Source organism: Homo sapiens, chromosome X, assembly GCF_000001405.40.
Source record: "Homo sapiens chromosome X, GRCh38.p14 Primary Assembly".
Lineage (NCBI taxonomy): Eukaryota > Metazoa > Chordata > Mammalia > Primates > Hominidae > Homo > Homo sapiens.
The window spans coordinates 55,669,376-55,687,705 of NC_000023.11; the positions used below are offsets into that span (position 1 = coordinate 55,669,376).

At 39.6% G+C, this 18,330-nt stretch overlaps 1 annotated feature.

Moving 5' to 3' along the window:
- Positions 4,447 to 4,648: a silencer, noted in NCBI's record as "fragment chrX:55700255-55700456 (GRCh37/hg19 assembly coordinates)". NCBI's record gives its function as "represses an EF-1alpha promoter that drives an FKBP-Casp9 reporter gene in an ReSE screen in phorbol 12-myristate 13-acetate-treated (for megakaryocytic differentiation) K562 erythroleukemia cells {active_cell/tissue: K562(+PMA)}" and the evidence as "EXISTENCE:reporter gene assay evidence [ECO:0000049][PMID:32094911]".

Consider the following 18,330-nt stretch of genomic DNA (forward strand, 5'->3'; position numbering starts at 1 on the left):
TTGGTCTTTTAGACATGAAGTTTTTGCCCATGCCAATGTCCTTAATGGTATTGCTTAGGTTTTCGTCTAGGATTTTTATGGTTCTAGGTCTTATGTATAAGTCTCTGAACCATCTTGTGTTGATTTTAGTATAAGGTGTAAGGAAGGGGTCCAGTTTCAGTTTTCTGCATATGGCTAGCCAGTTTTCCCAACACCATTTATTAAATAGGGAATCTTTTCCCCATTGCTTGTGTGTGTTAGGTTTGTCAAAGATTGGGTGGTGGTAGATGTGTGGTGTTATTTCTGAGGCCTCTGTTCTGTTCCATTGGTCTACATATCTGTTTTAGTACCAGTACCATGCTGTTTTGTTTACTGTAGCTTTGTAGTAAAGTTTGAAGTCAGATACCATGATGCCTCCAGCTTTGTTCTTCTTGCCCTGGATTGTCTTGGCTATGCTGGCTCCTTTTTGGTTCCATATGAACTTTAAAGTAGTTTTCTCCAGTTCTGTGAAGAAAGTCATTGGTAGCTTGATGCGGATGGCATTGAATCTATGAATTACTTTGGACTGTAAGGCCATTTTCACCATATTGATTCTTCCTATCCATGAGCATGGACTCTTTTTCCATTTGTTTGTGTCCTCTTTTATTTCATTGAGTAGTGGTTTGTAGTTCTCCTTGAAGAGGTCCTTCACATCCCTTGTAAGTTGGATTCCTAGGTATTTTATTCTCTTTAAAGCAATTGTGAATGGGAGTTCACTCATGATTTGGCTCTCTGTCTGTTATTGGTGTATAGGAATGCTTGTGATTTTTGCGCATTGATTTTGTATCCTGAGATTTTGCTGAAGTTGCTTATCAGCTTAAGGAGATTTTGGGCTGAGATAATGGGGTTTTCTAAATACACAATCATGTCATCTGCAAACAGAGACAATTTGACTTCCTCTTTTCCTAATTGAATACCCTTTACTTCCTTCTCCTGCCTAACTGCCCTGGCCAGAATTTCCAATACTATGTTGAATAGGAGTGTTGAGAGAGCGTATCCTTGTCTTGTGCTGGTTTTCAAAAGGAATGCTTCCAGTTTTTGCCCATTCAGTATGATATTGGCTGTGGTTTGTCATAAATAACTCTTATTATTTTGAGATGCGTTCTATCGATACCCAGTTTATTGAGAGTTTTTAGCATGAAAGGCTGTTGAATTTTGTCAAAGGCCTTTTCTGCATCTGTTGAGATAATCATGTGGTTTTTGTCGTTGGTTATGTTTATGTGATGGATTATGTTTATTGATTTGCATATGTTGAACCAGCCTTGCAATCCAGGGATGAAGCTGACTTGATCGTGGTGGATAAGCTTTTTGATGTGCTGCTGGATTCTGTTTGCCAGTATTTTATTGAGGATTTTCTCATTAATGTTTATCATGGATATTGGACTAAAATTCTCTTTTTTTCTTATGCCTCTGCCAGGCTTTGGTATCAGGATGATGCTGGCCTCATGAAATGAGTTAGGGAGGATTCCCTCTTTTTCTATTTATTGGAATAGTTTCAGAAGGAATGGTACCAGCTCCCTCCTTGTACCTCTGGTAGAATTTAGCAGTGAATCCATCTGGTCCTGGACTTTTTTTGGTTTGTAGGCTATTAATTATTGCTTCAATTTTAGAACCTGTTATTGGTCTATTGAGACATTCAACTTCTTCCTGATTTTGACTTGGGAAGGTGTATGTGTCCAGGAATTTATACTTTTCTTCTAGATTTTCTAGCATATTTTCATAGAGGTGTTTATAGTATTCTCTGATGATAGTTTGTATTTCTGTGGATCAGTGATGATATCCCCTTTATCATTTTTTATTGCTTCTATTTGATTCTTCTCTCTTTTCTTCTTTATTAGTCTGGCTAGTGGTCTATCTATTTTGTTTATCATTTCAAAAAGCCAGATCCTGGATTCATTGATTTTTTGAAGGGTTTTTTGTGTCTCTGTCGCCTTCAGTTCTGCTCTGATCTTAGTTATGTCTTGTCTTCTGTTAGCTTTTGAATTAGTTTGCTCTTGTTTCTCTAATTCTTTTAACTGTGGTGTTATGGTGTCGATTTTAGATATCTCCTGCTTTCTGTTGTGGGCATTTAGTGCTATAAATTTCCCTCTACACACTGCTTTAAATGTGTCCCATAGATTCTTGTACGTTGTGTCTTTCTTTTCATTGGTTGCAAAGAACCTCTTTATTTCTGCCTTCATTTCGTTATTTACCCAGTAGTCATTCAGGAGCAGGTTGTTCAATTTCCATGTAGTTGTGTGGTTTTGCGTGAGTTTCTTAATCCTGAGTTTTAATTTGATTGCACTGTGGTCTGAGAGACAGTTTGTTATAATTGCTGTTCTTTTACATTTGCTGAGGAGTGCTTTACTTCCAACTATGTGGTCACTTTTGGAATAGGTGCTATGTGGTGCTGAGAAGAATGTATATTCTGTTGATTTGGGGTGGAGAGTTCTGCAGATGTCTATTAGGTTGGCTTGGTTCAGAGCTGAGTTCAAGTCCTGGATATCCTTGTTAATTTTCTGTCTTGTCAACCTGTCTAATATTGATAGTGGGGTATAAAGTCTCCCATTATTATTGTGTGGGAGTCTAAGTCTTTTTGTAGGTCTCTAAGGACTTGCTTTATGAATCTGGGTGCTCCTGTATTGGGTGCATATATGTTTAGGATAGTTAGCTTTTCTTGTTGAATTGATCCCTTTACCATTATGTAATGGATGGCCTTCTTTGTCTCTTTTGATCTTTGTTGGTTTAAAATCTGTTTTATCAGAGACCAGGAATGCAAATCCTGTTTGTTTTTGTTTGTTTGTTTGTTTTTCCATTTGCTTGGAAGATCTTCTTCCATCTCTTTATTTTGAGCCTATGTGTGTGTCTCCATGTGAGATGGGTCTCCTGAATACAGCACACTGATTGGTCTTGACTCTTTATCCAATTTGCCAATCTATGTCTTTTAATTGGGGCATTTAGCCCATTTATATTTAAGTTTAATATTGTTATGTATAAATTTAATCCAGTCATTATGATGCTAGCTGGTCTTTTCATCTGCTAATTGTTGCCATTTCTTCATAGTGTCAATGGTCTTTACAATTTGACATGGTTTTGCAGTGGCTGGTACTGGTTGTTCCTTTCCATGTTCAGTGCTTCCTTCAGCAGCTCTTGTAACGCAGTCATGGTGGTGACAGAATCTCTCAGCATTTGCTTGTCTGTAAGGGTTGTATTTCTCCTTCACTTATGAAGCATAGTTTGGCTGGATATGAAATTCTGGGTTGAAAATTCTTTTCTTTATGAATGTTGAATATTGGCCCCCACTCTCTTCTGGCTTGTAGGATTTCTGCAGAGAGATCCGCTGTTAGTCTGATGGGCTTCCGTTTGTGGGTAACCCGACCTTTCTCTCTGGCTGCCATTAATATTTTTTCCTTCATTTCAACCTTGGTGAATCTGACAATTATGTGTCTTGGAGTTGCTTTTCTCGAGGAGTATCTTTGTGGCGTTCTCTGTATTTCCTGAATTTGAATGTTGGCCTGCCTTGCTAGGTTGGGGAAGTTCTCCTGGATAATATCCTGCAGAGTGTTTTCCAACTTGGTTTCATTCTCCCCATTATTTTCAGGTACACCATTCAAATGTAGATTTGGTCTTTTCACATAGTACCATATTTCTTGGAGGCTTTGTTCGTTTCTTTTTATCTTTTTTCTCTAATCTTGTCTTCTCACTTTATTTTATTAATTCGATCTTCAATCACTGATATCTTTTCTTCCACTTGATCGAATTCGCTATTGAAGCTTGTGTATGCTTCATGAAGTTCTTGTACTGTGGTTTTCAGCTCCATCAGGTCATTTAGGGTCTTCTCTACACTGATTATTCTAGTTAGCCACCCATCTAACCTTTTTTCAAGGTTTTTAGCTTCCTTGCATTGGGTTCAAACATGCTCCTTTAGCTCAGAGAAGTTTGTTATAACCAACCTTCTGAAACCTACTTCTGTCAACTCATCAAACTCATTCTCCATCCAGTTTTGTTCCCTTGCTGGTGAGGAGTTGTGTTCCTTTGGAGAAGAAGAATTCTGGTTTTTGGAATTTTCAGCCTTTCTGCTCTCATTTCTTCCCTTCTTTGTCGTTTTAACTACCTTTGGTCTTTGATGATTGTGATCTACTGATGGGCTTTTGGTGTAGATGTCCTTTTTGTTGATGTTGATGCTATTCCTTTCTATTTCTTAGTTTTGCTTCTAACAGTCCCCTCAGCTGCAGGTCTGTTGGAGTTTGCTGGAGGCCCACTCCAGACGCTGTTTGCCTGGGTATCACCAGTCGAGGCTGCAGTACAGCAAATATTGCAGAACAGCAAATATTGCTGCCTGATCCTTCCTCGGGAAGCTTCGTCCCAGGGAGACATCCTCCTGTATGAGGTTCTGTTGGCCCCTACTGGGAGTTGTCTCCCAGTGAGGCTACATGGGGGTCCGGGACCCACTTGAGGAGGCAGTGTGTCTGTTATCAGAGCTCAAATATCATGCTGGGAGAACCACTGCTTTCTTCAGGGCTGTCAGGCAGGGACGTTTAAGTCTGGAGAAGCTGTCTGCTGCCTTTTGTTCAGATATGCCCTGTGCCCAGAGGTGGATTCTAGAGAGGCAGTAGGCCTTGCTGAGCTGCAGTGGGCTTCCCCCATTCGTGCTTCCCACCACTTTGTTTACACTGTGAGCATAGAACCGCCTACTCAAGCCTCAGCAATGGTGGACATCTCTCCCCCCGCCAATCTCCTGCATCCCAGGTAGATCTCAGATTATGGTGCTAGCAGTGAGCAAGCCTCTGTGGGCGTGGGACCTGCCAAGCCAGGCATGGGAGGGGAATCTCCTGGTCTGCCAGTTGTGAAGACCATGGGACAAGCACAGTATTTGGGTAGGAGTGTACTGCTCCTCCAGATACAGTCACTCACAGCTTCTTTTGGCTAGGAAAGGGAAATCCCTTGACCCCTTGTGCTTCCTGGGTGAGGCAATGCCATGCCCTGCTTCAGCTCACCCTCCATGGGCTGCACCCACTGTCCAATGAGTCCCAGTGAGATGAACCAGGCACCTCAGTTGGAAATGCAGAAATCACCTATCTTCTGCATCAATTTCGCTGGGAGCTGTAGACCACAGCTGTTCTTTTGTGGCCATCTTGTAAGCCACCAGATGTAAGCCATTTTTAAGTCAGGTGGGATAATATCTCATTGTAGTTTTGATTTGCATATCTCTAATCAGTGATGTTGAGCCCATTTTAATATGCCTTTTTGCCATTTGCATGTTATTTTTTGAGAAATGTCTATTTGAATCTTTTGCCCACTTTTTAATTGGCTTGCTAGATTTTTTTCCTGTGGAGTTATTTGAGCTTTTCTATATTCTGGTTATTAATCCCTTGTCAGATAGGTAGTTAGCAAATATTTTCTTCAAATTGGTGGGGTATCTCTTCATTTTGTTGGTAATTTCCTTTCTTGTTCAGAAGCTTTTTAACTTGATGTGATCCCACTTGTCCATTTTTGCTTCAGTTGCATGTATTTGTGAGGTATTAATCAAGAAATTTTCGCCCAGACCAATATCCTATAAAGTTTTTCTGATGTTTCCTTGTAGTAATTTTATAGTTCAAGATCCTAAACTCTTTAATTTATTTTGATTTGGTTTTTGTATATGGTGAGAAATAGGGGCCTTGTTTCATTCTTCTGCATATTCATATTTAGTTTTTATAGCATAATTTATTGAAGAAATTGTCTTTTTCCCAGTGTATATTATTTGAGCCTTTGTCAAAAATGAGTTCAGTGTAAATGTGAGAATTTTTTTCTGTGTCTTGTATTCTGTTCCATTAGTCTGTGTCTGTATCAGTGTCCTCTATTCTGTTCCCTTAGTCTGTGTGGCTACAGCTGTGCAGTGACCAATCAATGGATTGTTTTTTGAAGACTGGCAATAAAGCTGTCCATTCAATTCGGAATACTGGTTTTAAGGTATAGCTGCTGATATTCTTTCATGTTTAGAAATTCTTTCTGTTATTATTCAAAAAATGTTTTTAATCATGCTAATAAACTTTTTTGGAGATGAAAAAATAAGTCAGGTAATGTGATTTCTCCAGTTTTGCTCTTTTTGCTTAGGATGGCTTTGGCTATTCTGGGTCTTTTGAGGTTATATATAAATTTTAGAATTGTTTTTTTCTATTTCAATGGAGACTGTCATTGGTAATTTGATAGGGATTGCATTGAATCTGTAGACTGTTTTGGGTATTATGGACATTTTAACAATATTAGTTCTTCCAATCCATAAATATGAAACATATTTCCATTTTTTTGGTGTCTTCTTCAATTTCTTTCATCAGTGTTTTAAGTTTTTTTTTTGTTTGTTTGTTTGTTGAGGCAGAGTCTCACTCTGTAGCCCAGGCTGGAGTGCAGTGGCATGATCTCAGCTCACTGAAACCTCCAGGTCCCAGTTCAAGCAATTCTCCTGCTTCAGCCTCCCAAGTAGCTGGAATTACAAGTGCATGCCATCATGCCCAGTTAATTTTTGTATTTTTAGTAGAGACAAGGTTTCATCATGTTGGCCAGGCTGGTCTTGAACTCCTGACCTCATGATCCACCTGCTTCAGCCTCCCAAAGTGCTGGGATTACAGGCATGAGCCACCGTGCCCAGCCTGTTTTATAGTTTTTATTTTAGAGATCTTTCACATCTTTGGTTAATTCCTAGGTATTTAATTTTATGTGGCTATTGTAAATGGGACTAATTTATAAATTTCTTTTTCAGATTGTTTATTGTTTTCATATAGAAATGCTACTAATTTTTGTATGTTGATTTTGTATCCTGCAACTTTACAGAATTTGTTTATCTGTTCTAAGAATTTTTTGATGGTGCCTTCAGGTTTTACCAAATACAAGATTATATTATCTGCAAACAACTATAATTTGATTTCTTCCTTTCTAGTTTGGATGCCATTTATATTTCTCTTGTCTGACTGCTCTAGCTAGGACTTCCAGTACTATGTTGAATAACAGGGCTGACACTGGGCGTCCTTGTCTTATTCCAGATCTTAAAGGAAAGGCTTTCAGCCTTTTTCCATTCAACATGATACTATCTGTGGGTCCATCAAACTTTGCTTTTATTATGTTGAGGTACGTTTCTTCTATACCCAGTTTTTTGAAAAATTTTATCATGAAAGGATGTTGAATTTTATCAAAAGATATTTTTGCATCAGTTGAAACTATCATATGCTTTTTGTACTTTATTCTGCTGATATGATATATCACATTGATTGATTTGCATGTGTTGAATCATTCTTGCATCCCAAGAAGAAATCCCACTTGGTCACAACGAATAATCTTTTTAATGTATTGTTGAATTCCGTTCACTAATATTTTGTTGATAATTTTTGCATCAATATTCATCAGAGATATTGGCCTATAGTTTTCTTTTTTGATGTATCTTTACCTGGTTTGTGTATCAAGCAAATGCTGGCCTAACAGAAGTTTGAAAGTATTCCTTTCTTGTTTATTTTTTGGAATAATTCGAGTTGATTGCTCTTAGCTCTTCTTTAAATGTTTGGTAGAATTCTGCTGTGAAACCATCATGTCCCAAGCTTTTCTTTAGTAGAAGACTTTATATTATGGCTTAGATTTTGTACTTGTTATTGGTAGAATTTGGCTTAAATTTCTTCTGCTCCTGGGCTTTGTTTGGTTGGTAGTCTATTAATTACTGCTTCAATTTCAGAACTTTTTAAATTATTATTATACTTTAAGTTCTAGGGTACATGAGCACAGCGTGCAGGTTTGTTACATAGGTATGCATATGCCATGCTGGTTTGCTGCTCCCATTAACACGTCATTTACATTGGGTATTTCTCCTAATGCTATCTCTCCCCTAGACCCCCACGCCATGACAAGCCCCATTGTGTGATGTTCCCCTCCCTGTGTCCAAGTGTTCTCTTTTTTCAATTCCCACCTATGAGTGAGAACATGCAGTGTTTTGTTTTCTGTCCTGGTGATAGTTTGCTCAGAATGATGGTTTCCAGCTTCATCCATGTCCCTGCAAAGGACACGAATTCATCATTTTATGGCTGCATAGTATTCCATGGTGTATACTTGCCACATTTTCTTAATCCAGTCTATCATTGATGGACATTTGGGTTGGCTCCAAATCTTTGCTATTGTGAGTAGTGCCACAATAAACATACGTGTGTATGTCTCTTTATAGTCGCATGATTCATAATCCTTTGGGTATATACACAGTAATGGGATCGCTGGGTCAAATGGTATTTCTATTTCTATCCTTGAGGAATCACCACACTGTCTTCCATAATGGTTGAACTAATTTACACTTCCACCAACAGTGTAAAAGCGTTCCTATTTCTCCACATCCTCCCCAGCATCTGTTGTTTCCTAACTTTTTAATGATCACCATTCTAATTGGTGTGAGATGGTATCTCATTGTGGTTTGATTTGCATTCCTCTGATGACCAGTGATGATGAGCATTTTTTCATTTGTCTGTTGGCTGCATAAATGTCTTCTTTTGAGAAGTGTCAGTTCATATCCTTTGCCCACTTTTTGATAGGGTTGTTTGATTTTTTCTTGTAAATCTGTTTGAGTTCTTTGTAGATTCTGGATATTAGCCCTTTATCAGATGGGTAGATTGCAAAAAATTTCTCCCATTCTGTAGGTTGCCTGTTCGCTCTGATGGTAGTTTCTTTTGCTGTGCAGAAGCTCTTTAGTTTCATTAGATCCTATTTGTCTATTTTGGCTTTTGTTGCCATTGCTTTGGTGTTTCAGTCATGAAATACTTGCCCATGTCTGTGTCCTGAATGGTATTGCCTAGCTTTTATTCTGGGGTTTTTATGGTTTCAGGACTACATTTAAGTCTTTAATCCATCTTGAATTAATTTTTGTGTAAGGTGTAAGGAAGGGATCCAGTTTCAGCTTTCTACATATGGCTAGCCAGTCTTCCCAGCACCATTTGTTAAATAGGGAATCGTTTCCCAATTTCTTGTTTTTGACAGGTGTGTTGAAGATCAGATGGTTTTAGATGTGTGGTGTTATTTCTGAGGGCTCTGTTCTGTTCCATTGGTCTATATCTTTTTGGTACCCGTACGATGCTGTTTGGTTACTGTAACCATGTAGTATAGTTTGAAGTCAGGTAGCGTGATGCTTCCAGGTTTGTTCTTTTTGCTTAGGATTGTCTTGCCAATGTGGACTTTTTTTTTTTTCGGTTCTATATGAACTTTAAAGTAGTTTATTCCAAGTCCATTAGTAGCTTGAATCTATAACTAGATGGCATTGAATCTATAACTTACCTTGGGAAGTATGGCCATTTTCACGATATTGATTCTTCCTATCCATGAGCATGGAATGTTCCTCCATTTGTTTGTGTCCTCTTTTATTTCATTGAGCAGTGGTTTGTAGTTCTCCTTGAAGAGGTCCTTCACATCCCTTGTAAGTTGGATTCCTAGGTATTTTATTCTCTTTGAAGCAATTGTGAATGGGAGTTCACTCATGATTTGGCTCTCTGTTTGTCTGTTATTGGTGTATAGGAATGCTTGTGATTTTTGCACATTGATTTTATATCCTGAGACTTTGCTGAAGTTCCTTATCACCTTAAGGACATTTTGGGCTGAGATGATGGGGTTTTCTAAATATACAATCATGTCATCTGCAAACAGGGACAATTTGACTTCCTCTTTTCCTAATTGCATACACTTTATTTCTTTAGTTTGCCTGATTGCCCTGGCCATAACTTCAAACACTACGTTGAATAGGAGTGGTGAGAGAGGGCATCACTGTCTTGTGCCAGTTTACAAAGGGAATGCTTCCAGTTTTTGCCCATTCAGTATGATATTGGCTGTGGGTTTGTCATAAATAGCTCTTATTATTTTGAGCTATGTTCCATCAGTACCTACTTTATTGAGAGTTTTTAGCATGAAGAGCTGTTGAATTTTGTTGAATGCCTTTTCTGCATCTATTGAGATAATCATGGGGTTTTTGTTTTTGGTTCTGTTTATGTGATGGATTACATTTATTGATTTTCGTATGTTGAACAAGCCTTGCATCCCAAGGATGAAGCCGATTTGATTGTGGTGGATAAGCTTTTTGATGTGCTGCTGGATTTGGTTTGCCAGTATTTTACTGAAGATTTTTGCATCCATGTTCACCAGGGATATTGGTCTAAAGTTCTCTTTTTTGTTGTGTCTATACCAGGCTTTGGTATCACGATGATGCTGGCCTAATAAAAAGAGTTAGGGAGGGTTCCCTCTTTTCCTATTGATTGGACCAGTTTCAGAAGAAATGGTACCAGCTCCTCCTTGTACCCCTGGTAGAATTTGGCTGTGAATCCGTCTGGTCCTGAACTCTTTTTGGCTGGTAGGCTATTAATTATTGCCTCAATTTCAGAGCCTGTTATTGGTCTATGCAGAGATTCCACTTCTTTCAGGTTCAGTTTTTTGAGGGTGGATGTGTCCAGGAATTCATCAATTTCTCCTGGATTTTCTAGTTTATTTGCATAGAGGTGTTTATAGTATTTTCTGATGGTAGTTTGTATTTCTGTGGGATCGGTGGTGATATCCCCTTTATCACTTTTTATTGCATCTATTTGATTCTTCTCTCTTTTCTTCTTTATTAGTCTTGCTAGCAGTCTATCTATTTTGTTGATCTTTTCAAAAAAACAGCTCATGGATTCATTGATTTTTTTGAAGGGCTATTTGTGTCTCTATCTCCTTCAGTTCTGCTCTGATCTTAGTTATTTCTTCTCTTCTGCTAGCTTTTGAATTTGTTTGCTCTTGCTTCTCTACTTCTTTTAATTGTGATGTTTGGGTGTTGATTTTAGATCTTTCCTGCTTTTTCCTGTCGGCATTAAGTGCTATAAATTTCCCTCTACACACTGCTTTAAACGTGTCCCTGTGATTCTGGTACGTTGTGTCTTTGTTCTCACTGTTTGCAAAGAACATCTTTATTTCTCCCTTTATTTCATTATGTACCTAGTAGTAATTCAGGAGCAGGTTGTTCAGTTTCCATATAGTTCTTTGGTTTTCAGTGAGTTTCTTAATCCTGAATTCTAATTTGATTGCACTGTGGTCTGAGAGATAGTTTGTTGTGATTTCTGTTCTTTTACATTTGCTCAAGAGTGCTTTACTTCCAACAATGTGGTCAATTTTGGAATAAGTGCGATGTAGTGCTGAGTAGAATGTATATATTCTGTTGATTTGGGGTGGAGAGGTCTGTAGATGTCTATTAGGTCTGTTTGGTGCAGAGCTGAGTTCAAGTTCTGGATATCCTTCTTAAACTTCTGTCTTGTTGATCTGTCTAATATTGACAGTGGGGTGTTAAAGTCTCCCATTATCATTGTGTGGGAGTGTTAGTCTCTTTGTAGGTCTCTGGGGACTTGCTTTATGAGTCGGGTGCTCCTGTATTGGGTGCATATATATTTAGTATAATTAGCTCTTCTTGTTGAATTGTTCCCTTTACCATTATGTAATGGCCTTCTTTGTCTCTGTTGATCTTTGATGGTTTAGTCTGTTTTATCAGAGACTAGGATTGCAACCCCTGCTTTTTTTTTGCTTTCCATTTGCTTGGTGGATCATCCTCCATCCCCTTATTTTGAGCCTATGTGTGTCTCTGCATGTGAGATGGGTCTCCTGAATACAGCACACCGATGGGTCTTGACTCTTTATCCAATTTCCCCATCTGCGTCTTTTCACTGGGGCATTTAGCCCATTTACATTTAAGGATCATATTGTTAGGTGTGAATTTGATCCTGTCATTATGATATTAGCTGATTGTTTTGCCTGTTAATTGATGCAGTTTCTTTTTATTATTATTATTATACTTTAAGTTTTAGGGTACATGTGCACAATGTACAGGTTAGTTACATATGTATACATGTAACATGCTGGTGCACTGCACCAACTAACCCGTCATCTAGCATTAGGTATATCTCCTAATGCTATCCCTCTCCCCTTCCCCCACCCCACAACAGTCCCCAGAGTGTGATGTTCCCCTTCCTGTGTCCATGTGTTCTCATTGTTCAATTCCCAACCTATGAGTGAGAATATGCAGTGTTTGGTTTTTTGTCCTTGCTATAGTTTACTGAGAATGATGATTTCCAATTTCATCCATGTCCCTGTCAAGGACATGAACTCATCATTTTTTATGGCTGCATAGTATTCCATGGTGTATATGTACCACATTTTCTTGATCCAGTCTATCATTGTTGGACATTTGGCTTGGTTCCAAGTCTTTGCTATTGTGAATAATGCCGCAATAAACATATGTGTGCATGTGTCTTTATAGCAGCATGATTTATAGTCCTTTGGGTATATACCCAGTAATGGGATGGCTGGGTCAAATGGTATTTCTAGTTCTAGATCCCTGAGGAATCACAACACTGACTTCCACAAGGGTTGAACTAGTTTACAGTCCCACCAACAGTGTAAAAGTGTTCCTATTTCTCCAGAGCCTCTCCAGCACCTGTTGTTTCCTGACTTTTTAATGATTGCCATTCTAACTGGTGTGAGATGGTATCTCATTGTGGTTTTGATTGGCATTTCTCTGACGGCCAGTGATGGTGAGCATTTTTTCATGTGTTTTTGGCTGCATAAATGTCTTCTTTTGAGAAGTGACTGTTCATGTCCTTCACCCACTTTTTGATGGGGTTGTTTGTTTTTTTCTTGTAAATTTGTTTGAGTTCATTGTAGATTCTCGATATTAGACCTTTGTCAGATGAGTAGGTTGCAAAAATTTTCTCCCATTTTGTAGGTTGCCTGTTCACTCTGATGGTAGTTTCTTTTGCTGTGCAGAAGCTCTTTAGTTTAATTAGATCCCATTTGTCAATTGTGTCTTTTGTTGCCATTGCTTTTGGTGTTTTAGACATGAAGTCCTTGCCCATGCCTGTGTCCTGAATGGTAATGCCTAGGTTTTCTTCTAGTATTTTTATGGTTTTAGGTTTAACATTTAAGTCTTTAATCCATCTTGAATTGATTTCTGTGTAAAGTGTAAGGAAGGGATGCAGTTTCAGCTTTCTACATATGGCTAGCCAGTTTTCCCAGCACCATTTATTAAATAGGGAGTCTCTTCCCCATTGCTTGTTTTTGTCAGGTTTGTCAAAGATCAGATAGTTGTAGATATGCGGCGTTGTTTCTGAGGGCTCTGTTCTGTTCCATTGGTCTATATCTCTGTTTTGGTACCAGTACCATGCTGTTTTGGTTACTGTAGCCTTGTAGTATAGTTTGATGTCAGGTAGTGCGATGCCTCCAGCTTTGTTCTTTTGGCTTAGGATCGACTTGGCGATGAGGGCTCTGTTTTGGTTCCATATGAACTTTAAAGTAGTTTTTTCCAATTCTGTGAAGAAAGTCACTGGTAGCTTGATGGGGATGGCATTGAATCTATAAATTACCTTGGGCACTATGGCCATTTTCACGATATTGATTCTTCCTGCCCATTAGCATGGAATGTTCTACCATTTGTTTGTATCCTCTTTGATTTCATTGAGCAGTGGTTTGTAGTTCTCCTTGAAGAGGTCCTTCACATCCCTTGTAAGTTGGATTCCTAGGTATTTTATTCTCTTTGAAGCAATTGTGAATGGGAGTTCACTCAGGATTTGGCTATCTGTATGTCTGTTGTTGGTGCATAAGAATGCTTGTGATTTTTGTACATTGATTTTGTATCCTGAGACTTTGCTGAAGTTGCTTATCAGCTTAAGGAGAGTTTGGGCTGAGACAATGGGGTTTTCTAGATATACAGTCATGTCATCTGCAAACAGGGATAATTTGACTTCCTCTTTTCCTAATTGAATACCCTTTATTTCCTTCTCCTGCCTGATTGCCCTGGCCAGAACTTCCAACACTATGTTGAATAGGAGTGGTGAGAGAGGGCATCCCTGCCTTGTGCCAGTTTTCAAAGGGAATGCTTCCAGTTTTTGCCCATTCAGTATGATATTGGCTGTGGGTTTGTCATAGATAGCTCTTATTATTTTGAAATACGTCCCATCAATACCTAATTTATGGACAATTTTTAGCATGAAGGGTTGTTGAATTTTGTCAAAGGCCTTTTCTGCATCTATTGAGATAATCATGTGGTTTTTGTCTTTGGTTCTGTTTATATGCTGGATTACATTTATTGATTTGCATATATTGAACCAGCCTTGCATCCCAGGGATGAAGCCCACTTGATCATGGTGGATAAGCTTTTTGATGTGCTGCTGGATATAGTTTGCCAGTATTTTATCGAGGATTTTTGCATCAATGTTCATCAAGGATATTGGTCTAAAATTCTCTTTTTGGTTGTGTCTCTGCCCGGCTTTGGTATCAGAATGATGCTGGCCTCATAAAATGAGTTAGGGAGGATTCCCTCTTTTTCTATTGATTGGAATAGTTTCAGAAGGAATGGTACCAGTTCCTCTTTGTACCTCTGGTAGAATTCGGCTGTGAATCCCTGTGGTCCTGGACTCTTTTTCGTTGGTAAGCTGTAGATTATTGCCACAATTTCAGCACCGTTTTTGGTCTATTCAAAGATTCAACTTCTTCCTGGTTTAATCTTGGGAGGATGTATGTGTCGAGGAATTTATCCATTTCTAGATTTTCTAGTTTATTTGCATAGAGGTGTTTGTAGTATTCTCTGATGGTAGTTTGTGTTCCTGTAGGATCGGTGGTAATATCCCCTTTATCATTTTTTATTGCGTCTATTTGATTCTTCTCTCTTTTTTTCTTTATTAGTCTTGCTAGTGGTCTATCAATTTTGTTGATCCTTTCAAAAAACCAGCTCCTGGATTCATTAATTTTTTGAAGGGTTTTTTTGTGTCTGTATTTCCTTCAGTTCTGCTCTGATTTTTGTTATTTCTTGCCTTCTGCTAGCTTTTGAATGTGTTTGCTCTTGCTTTTCTAGTTCTTTTAATTGTGATGTTAGGGTGTCAGTTTTGCATCTTTCCTGCTTTCTCTTGTGGGCATTTAGTCCTATAAATTTCCCTCTACACACTGCTTTGAATGCGTCCCAGAGATTCTGTTATGTTGTGTCTTTGTTCTTGTTGGTTTCAAAGAACATCTTTATTTCTGCCTTCATTTCTTTATGTACCCAGTAGTCATTCAGGAGCAGGTTGTTCAGTTTCCATGTAGTTGAGCGGTTTTGGGTGAGATTCTTAATCCTGAGTTCTAGTTTGATTGCACTGTGGTCTGAGAGACAGTTTGTTATAATTTCTGTTCTTTTACATTTTCTGAGGAGAGCCTTACTTCCAACTATGTGGTCAATTTTGGAATAGGTGTGGTGTGGTGCTGAAAAAAATGTATATTCTGTTGATTTGGGGTAGAGAGGTCTGTAGATGTCTATTAGGTCTGCTTGGTGCAGAGCTGAGTTCAATTCCTGGGTGTCCTTGTTGACTTTCTGTCTCGTTTATCTGTCTAATGTTGACAGTGGGGTGTTAAAGTCTCCCATTATTATTGTCTGGGAGTCTAAGTCTCTTTGTATGTCACTCAGGACTTCCTTTACGAATCTGGGTGCTCCTGTATTGGGTGCATATATATTTAGTATAGTTAGCTCTTCTTCTTGAATTGATCCCTTTACCATTATGTAATGGCCTTCTTTGTCTCTTTTGATCTTTGTTGGTTTCAATTCTGTTTTATCAGAGACTAGGATTGCAACCCCTGCCTTTTTTTTGTTTTCCATTTGCTTGGTAGATCTTCCTCCATCCTTTTATTTTGAGCTTATTTGTGTCTCTGCACATGAGATGGGTTTCCTGAATACAGCACACTGATGGGTCTCGACTCTTTATCCAATTTGCCAGTCTGTGTCTTTTAATTGGAGCATTTAGTCCATTTACATTTAAAGTTAATAGTGTTATGTGTGAATTTGATCCTGTCATTGTGATGTTAGCTGGTTATTTTCCTTGTTAGTTGATGCAGTTTCTTCCTAGTCTCGATGGTCTTTACATTTTGGTATGATTTTGCAGCAGCTGGTACCGTTTGTTCCTTCCCATGTTTAGCGCTTCCTTCAGGAGCTCTTTTAGGGCAGGCCTGGTGGTGACAAAATCTCTCAGCATTTGCTTGTCTGTAAAGGATTTTATTTCTCCTTCACTTTTGAAGCTTAGTTTGGCTGGATATGAAATTCTGGGTTGAAAATTCTTTGCTTTAAGAATCTTGAATATTGGCCCCCACTCTCTTCTGGCTTGTAGAGTTTCTGCTGAGAGATCCGCTGTTAGTCTGATGGGCTTCCGTTTGTGGGTAACCCGACCTTTCTCTCTGGCTGCCCTTAACATTTTTTCCTTCATTTCAACTTTGGTGAATCTGACAATTATGTGTCTTGGAGTTGCGCTTCTCGAGGAGTATCTTTGTGGCGTTCTCTGTATTTCCTGAATCTGAATGTTGGCCTGCCTTGCTAGATTGGGGAAGTTCTCCTGGATAATATCCTGCAGAGTGTTTTCCAACTTGGTTCCATTCTCTCCGTCACTTTCAGGTACACCAATCAGACGTAGATTTGGTCTTTTCACATAGTCCCATATTTCTTGGAGGCTTTGCCCGTTTTTTTTTAATTCTTTTTTCTCTAAACTTCCCTTCTCGCTTCATTTCATTCATTTCATCTTCCATCACTGATACTCTTTCTTCCAGTTGATCGCATTGGCTCCTGAGGCTTCTGCATTCTTCACGTAGTTCTCGAGCCTTGGTTTTCAGCTCCATCTGCTCCTTTAAGCTCTTCTCTGTATTGGTTATTCTAGCTTTACATTGTTCTAAACTTTTTTCAAAGTTTTCATCTTCTTTACCTTTGGTTTGAATGTCCACCCGTAGCTCAGAGTAATTTGATCATCTGAAGCCTTCTTCTCTCAGCTCGTCAAAGTCATTCTCCACCCAGCTTTGTTCCATTGCTGGTGAGGATCTGCGTTCCTTTGGAGGAGGAGAGGCACTCTGCCTTTTAGAGTTTCCAGTTTTTCAGCTCTGTTTTTTCCCCATCTTTGTGGTTTTATCTACTTTTGGTCTTTGATGATGGTGATGTACAGATGGGTTTTTGGTGTGGATGTCCTTTCTGTTTGTTAGTTTTCCTTCTAACAGACAGGACCCTCAGCTGCAGGTCTGTTGGAGTACCCAGCCGTGTGAGGTGTCAGTCTGCCCCTGCTGGGGGGTGCTTCCCAGTTAGGCTGCTCCAGGGTCAGGGGTCAGGGACCCACTTGAGGAGGCAGTCTGCCCGTTCTCAGATCTCCAGCTGCGTGCTGGGAGAACCACTGCTCTCTTCAAAGCTGTCAGATAGGGACATTTAAGTCTGCAGAGGTTACTGCTGTCTTTTTGTTTGTCTGTGCCCTGCCCCCAGAGGTGGAGCCTACAGAGTCAGGCAGGCCTCCTTGAGCTGCGGTGGGCTCCAACCAATTCGAGCTTCCCAGCTGCTTTGTTTACCTAAGCAAGCCTGTGCAATGGCGGGCGCCCCTCCCCCAGCCTCGCTGCCACCTTGCGGTTTGATCTCAGACTGCTGTGCTAGCAATCAGCGAGACTCCGTGGGCATAGGACCCTCCGAGCCATGTGCGGGATATAATCTCCTGGTGTGCCATTTTTGAAGCCTGTCGGAAAAGCGCAGTATTTGGGTGGGAGTGACCCAATTTTCCAGGTGCCATCTGTCACCCCTTTCTTTTACTAGGAAAGGGGACTCCCTGACCCCTTGCACTTCTTGAGTGAGGCAATGCCTCGCCCTGGTTTGTCTTGCGCAAGGTGCACACACCCACTGACCTGCGCCCACTGTCTGGCACTGCCTAGTGAGATGAACCCGGTACCTCAGATGGAAATGCAGAAATCACCCGTCCTCTGTGTCACTCACGCTGGGAGCTGTAGACCGGAGCTGTTCCTATTCGGCCATCTTGGCTCCTTCCCAATGCAGTTTCTTAATAGCATCATGTTTGCTATTTTGACATGTTTTTGCAGTGGCTCCTACCAGTTGTTCCTTTCCATGTTTAATGCTTCCTTCAGGAGCTCTTGTAAGGCAGGCCTGGTGGTGACAAAATCTCTCAGCCTTTGCTTTTCTGTAAAGGATTTTATTTCTCCTTCACTTATGTAGCATAGTTTGGCTGGATATGAAATTCTGGGTTGAAAATTCTTTTCTTAAGAATGTTGAATATTGGCCCCCACTCTCTTCTTGCTTGTGGAGTTTCTGCTGAGAGATCCACTATCAGTCTGATGGGCTTCCCTTTGTGAGTAACCCGACCTTTCTCTCTGGCTGCCCTTAATATTTTTTCCTTCATTTCAACCTTGGTGAATCTGACAATTATGTGTCTTGGGTTGCTCTTCTCGAGGAATGTCTTTGTGGTGTTCTCTGTATTTCCTGAATTTGAATGTTGGCCCGCCTTGCTAGATTGGGGAAGTTCTCCTCCATAATATCCTGCAGAGTGTTTTCCA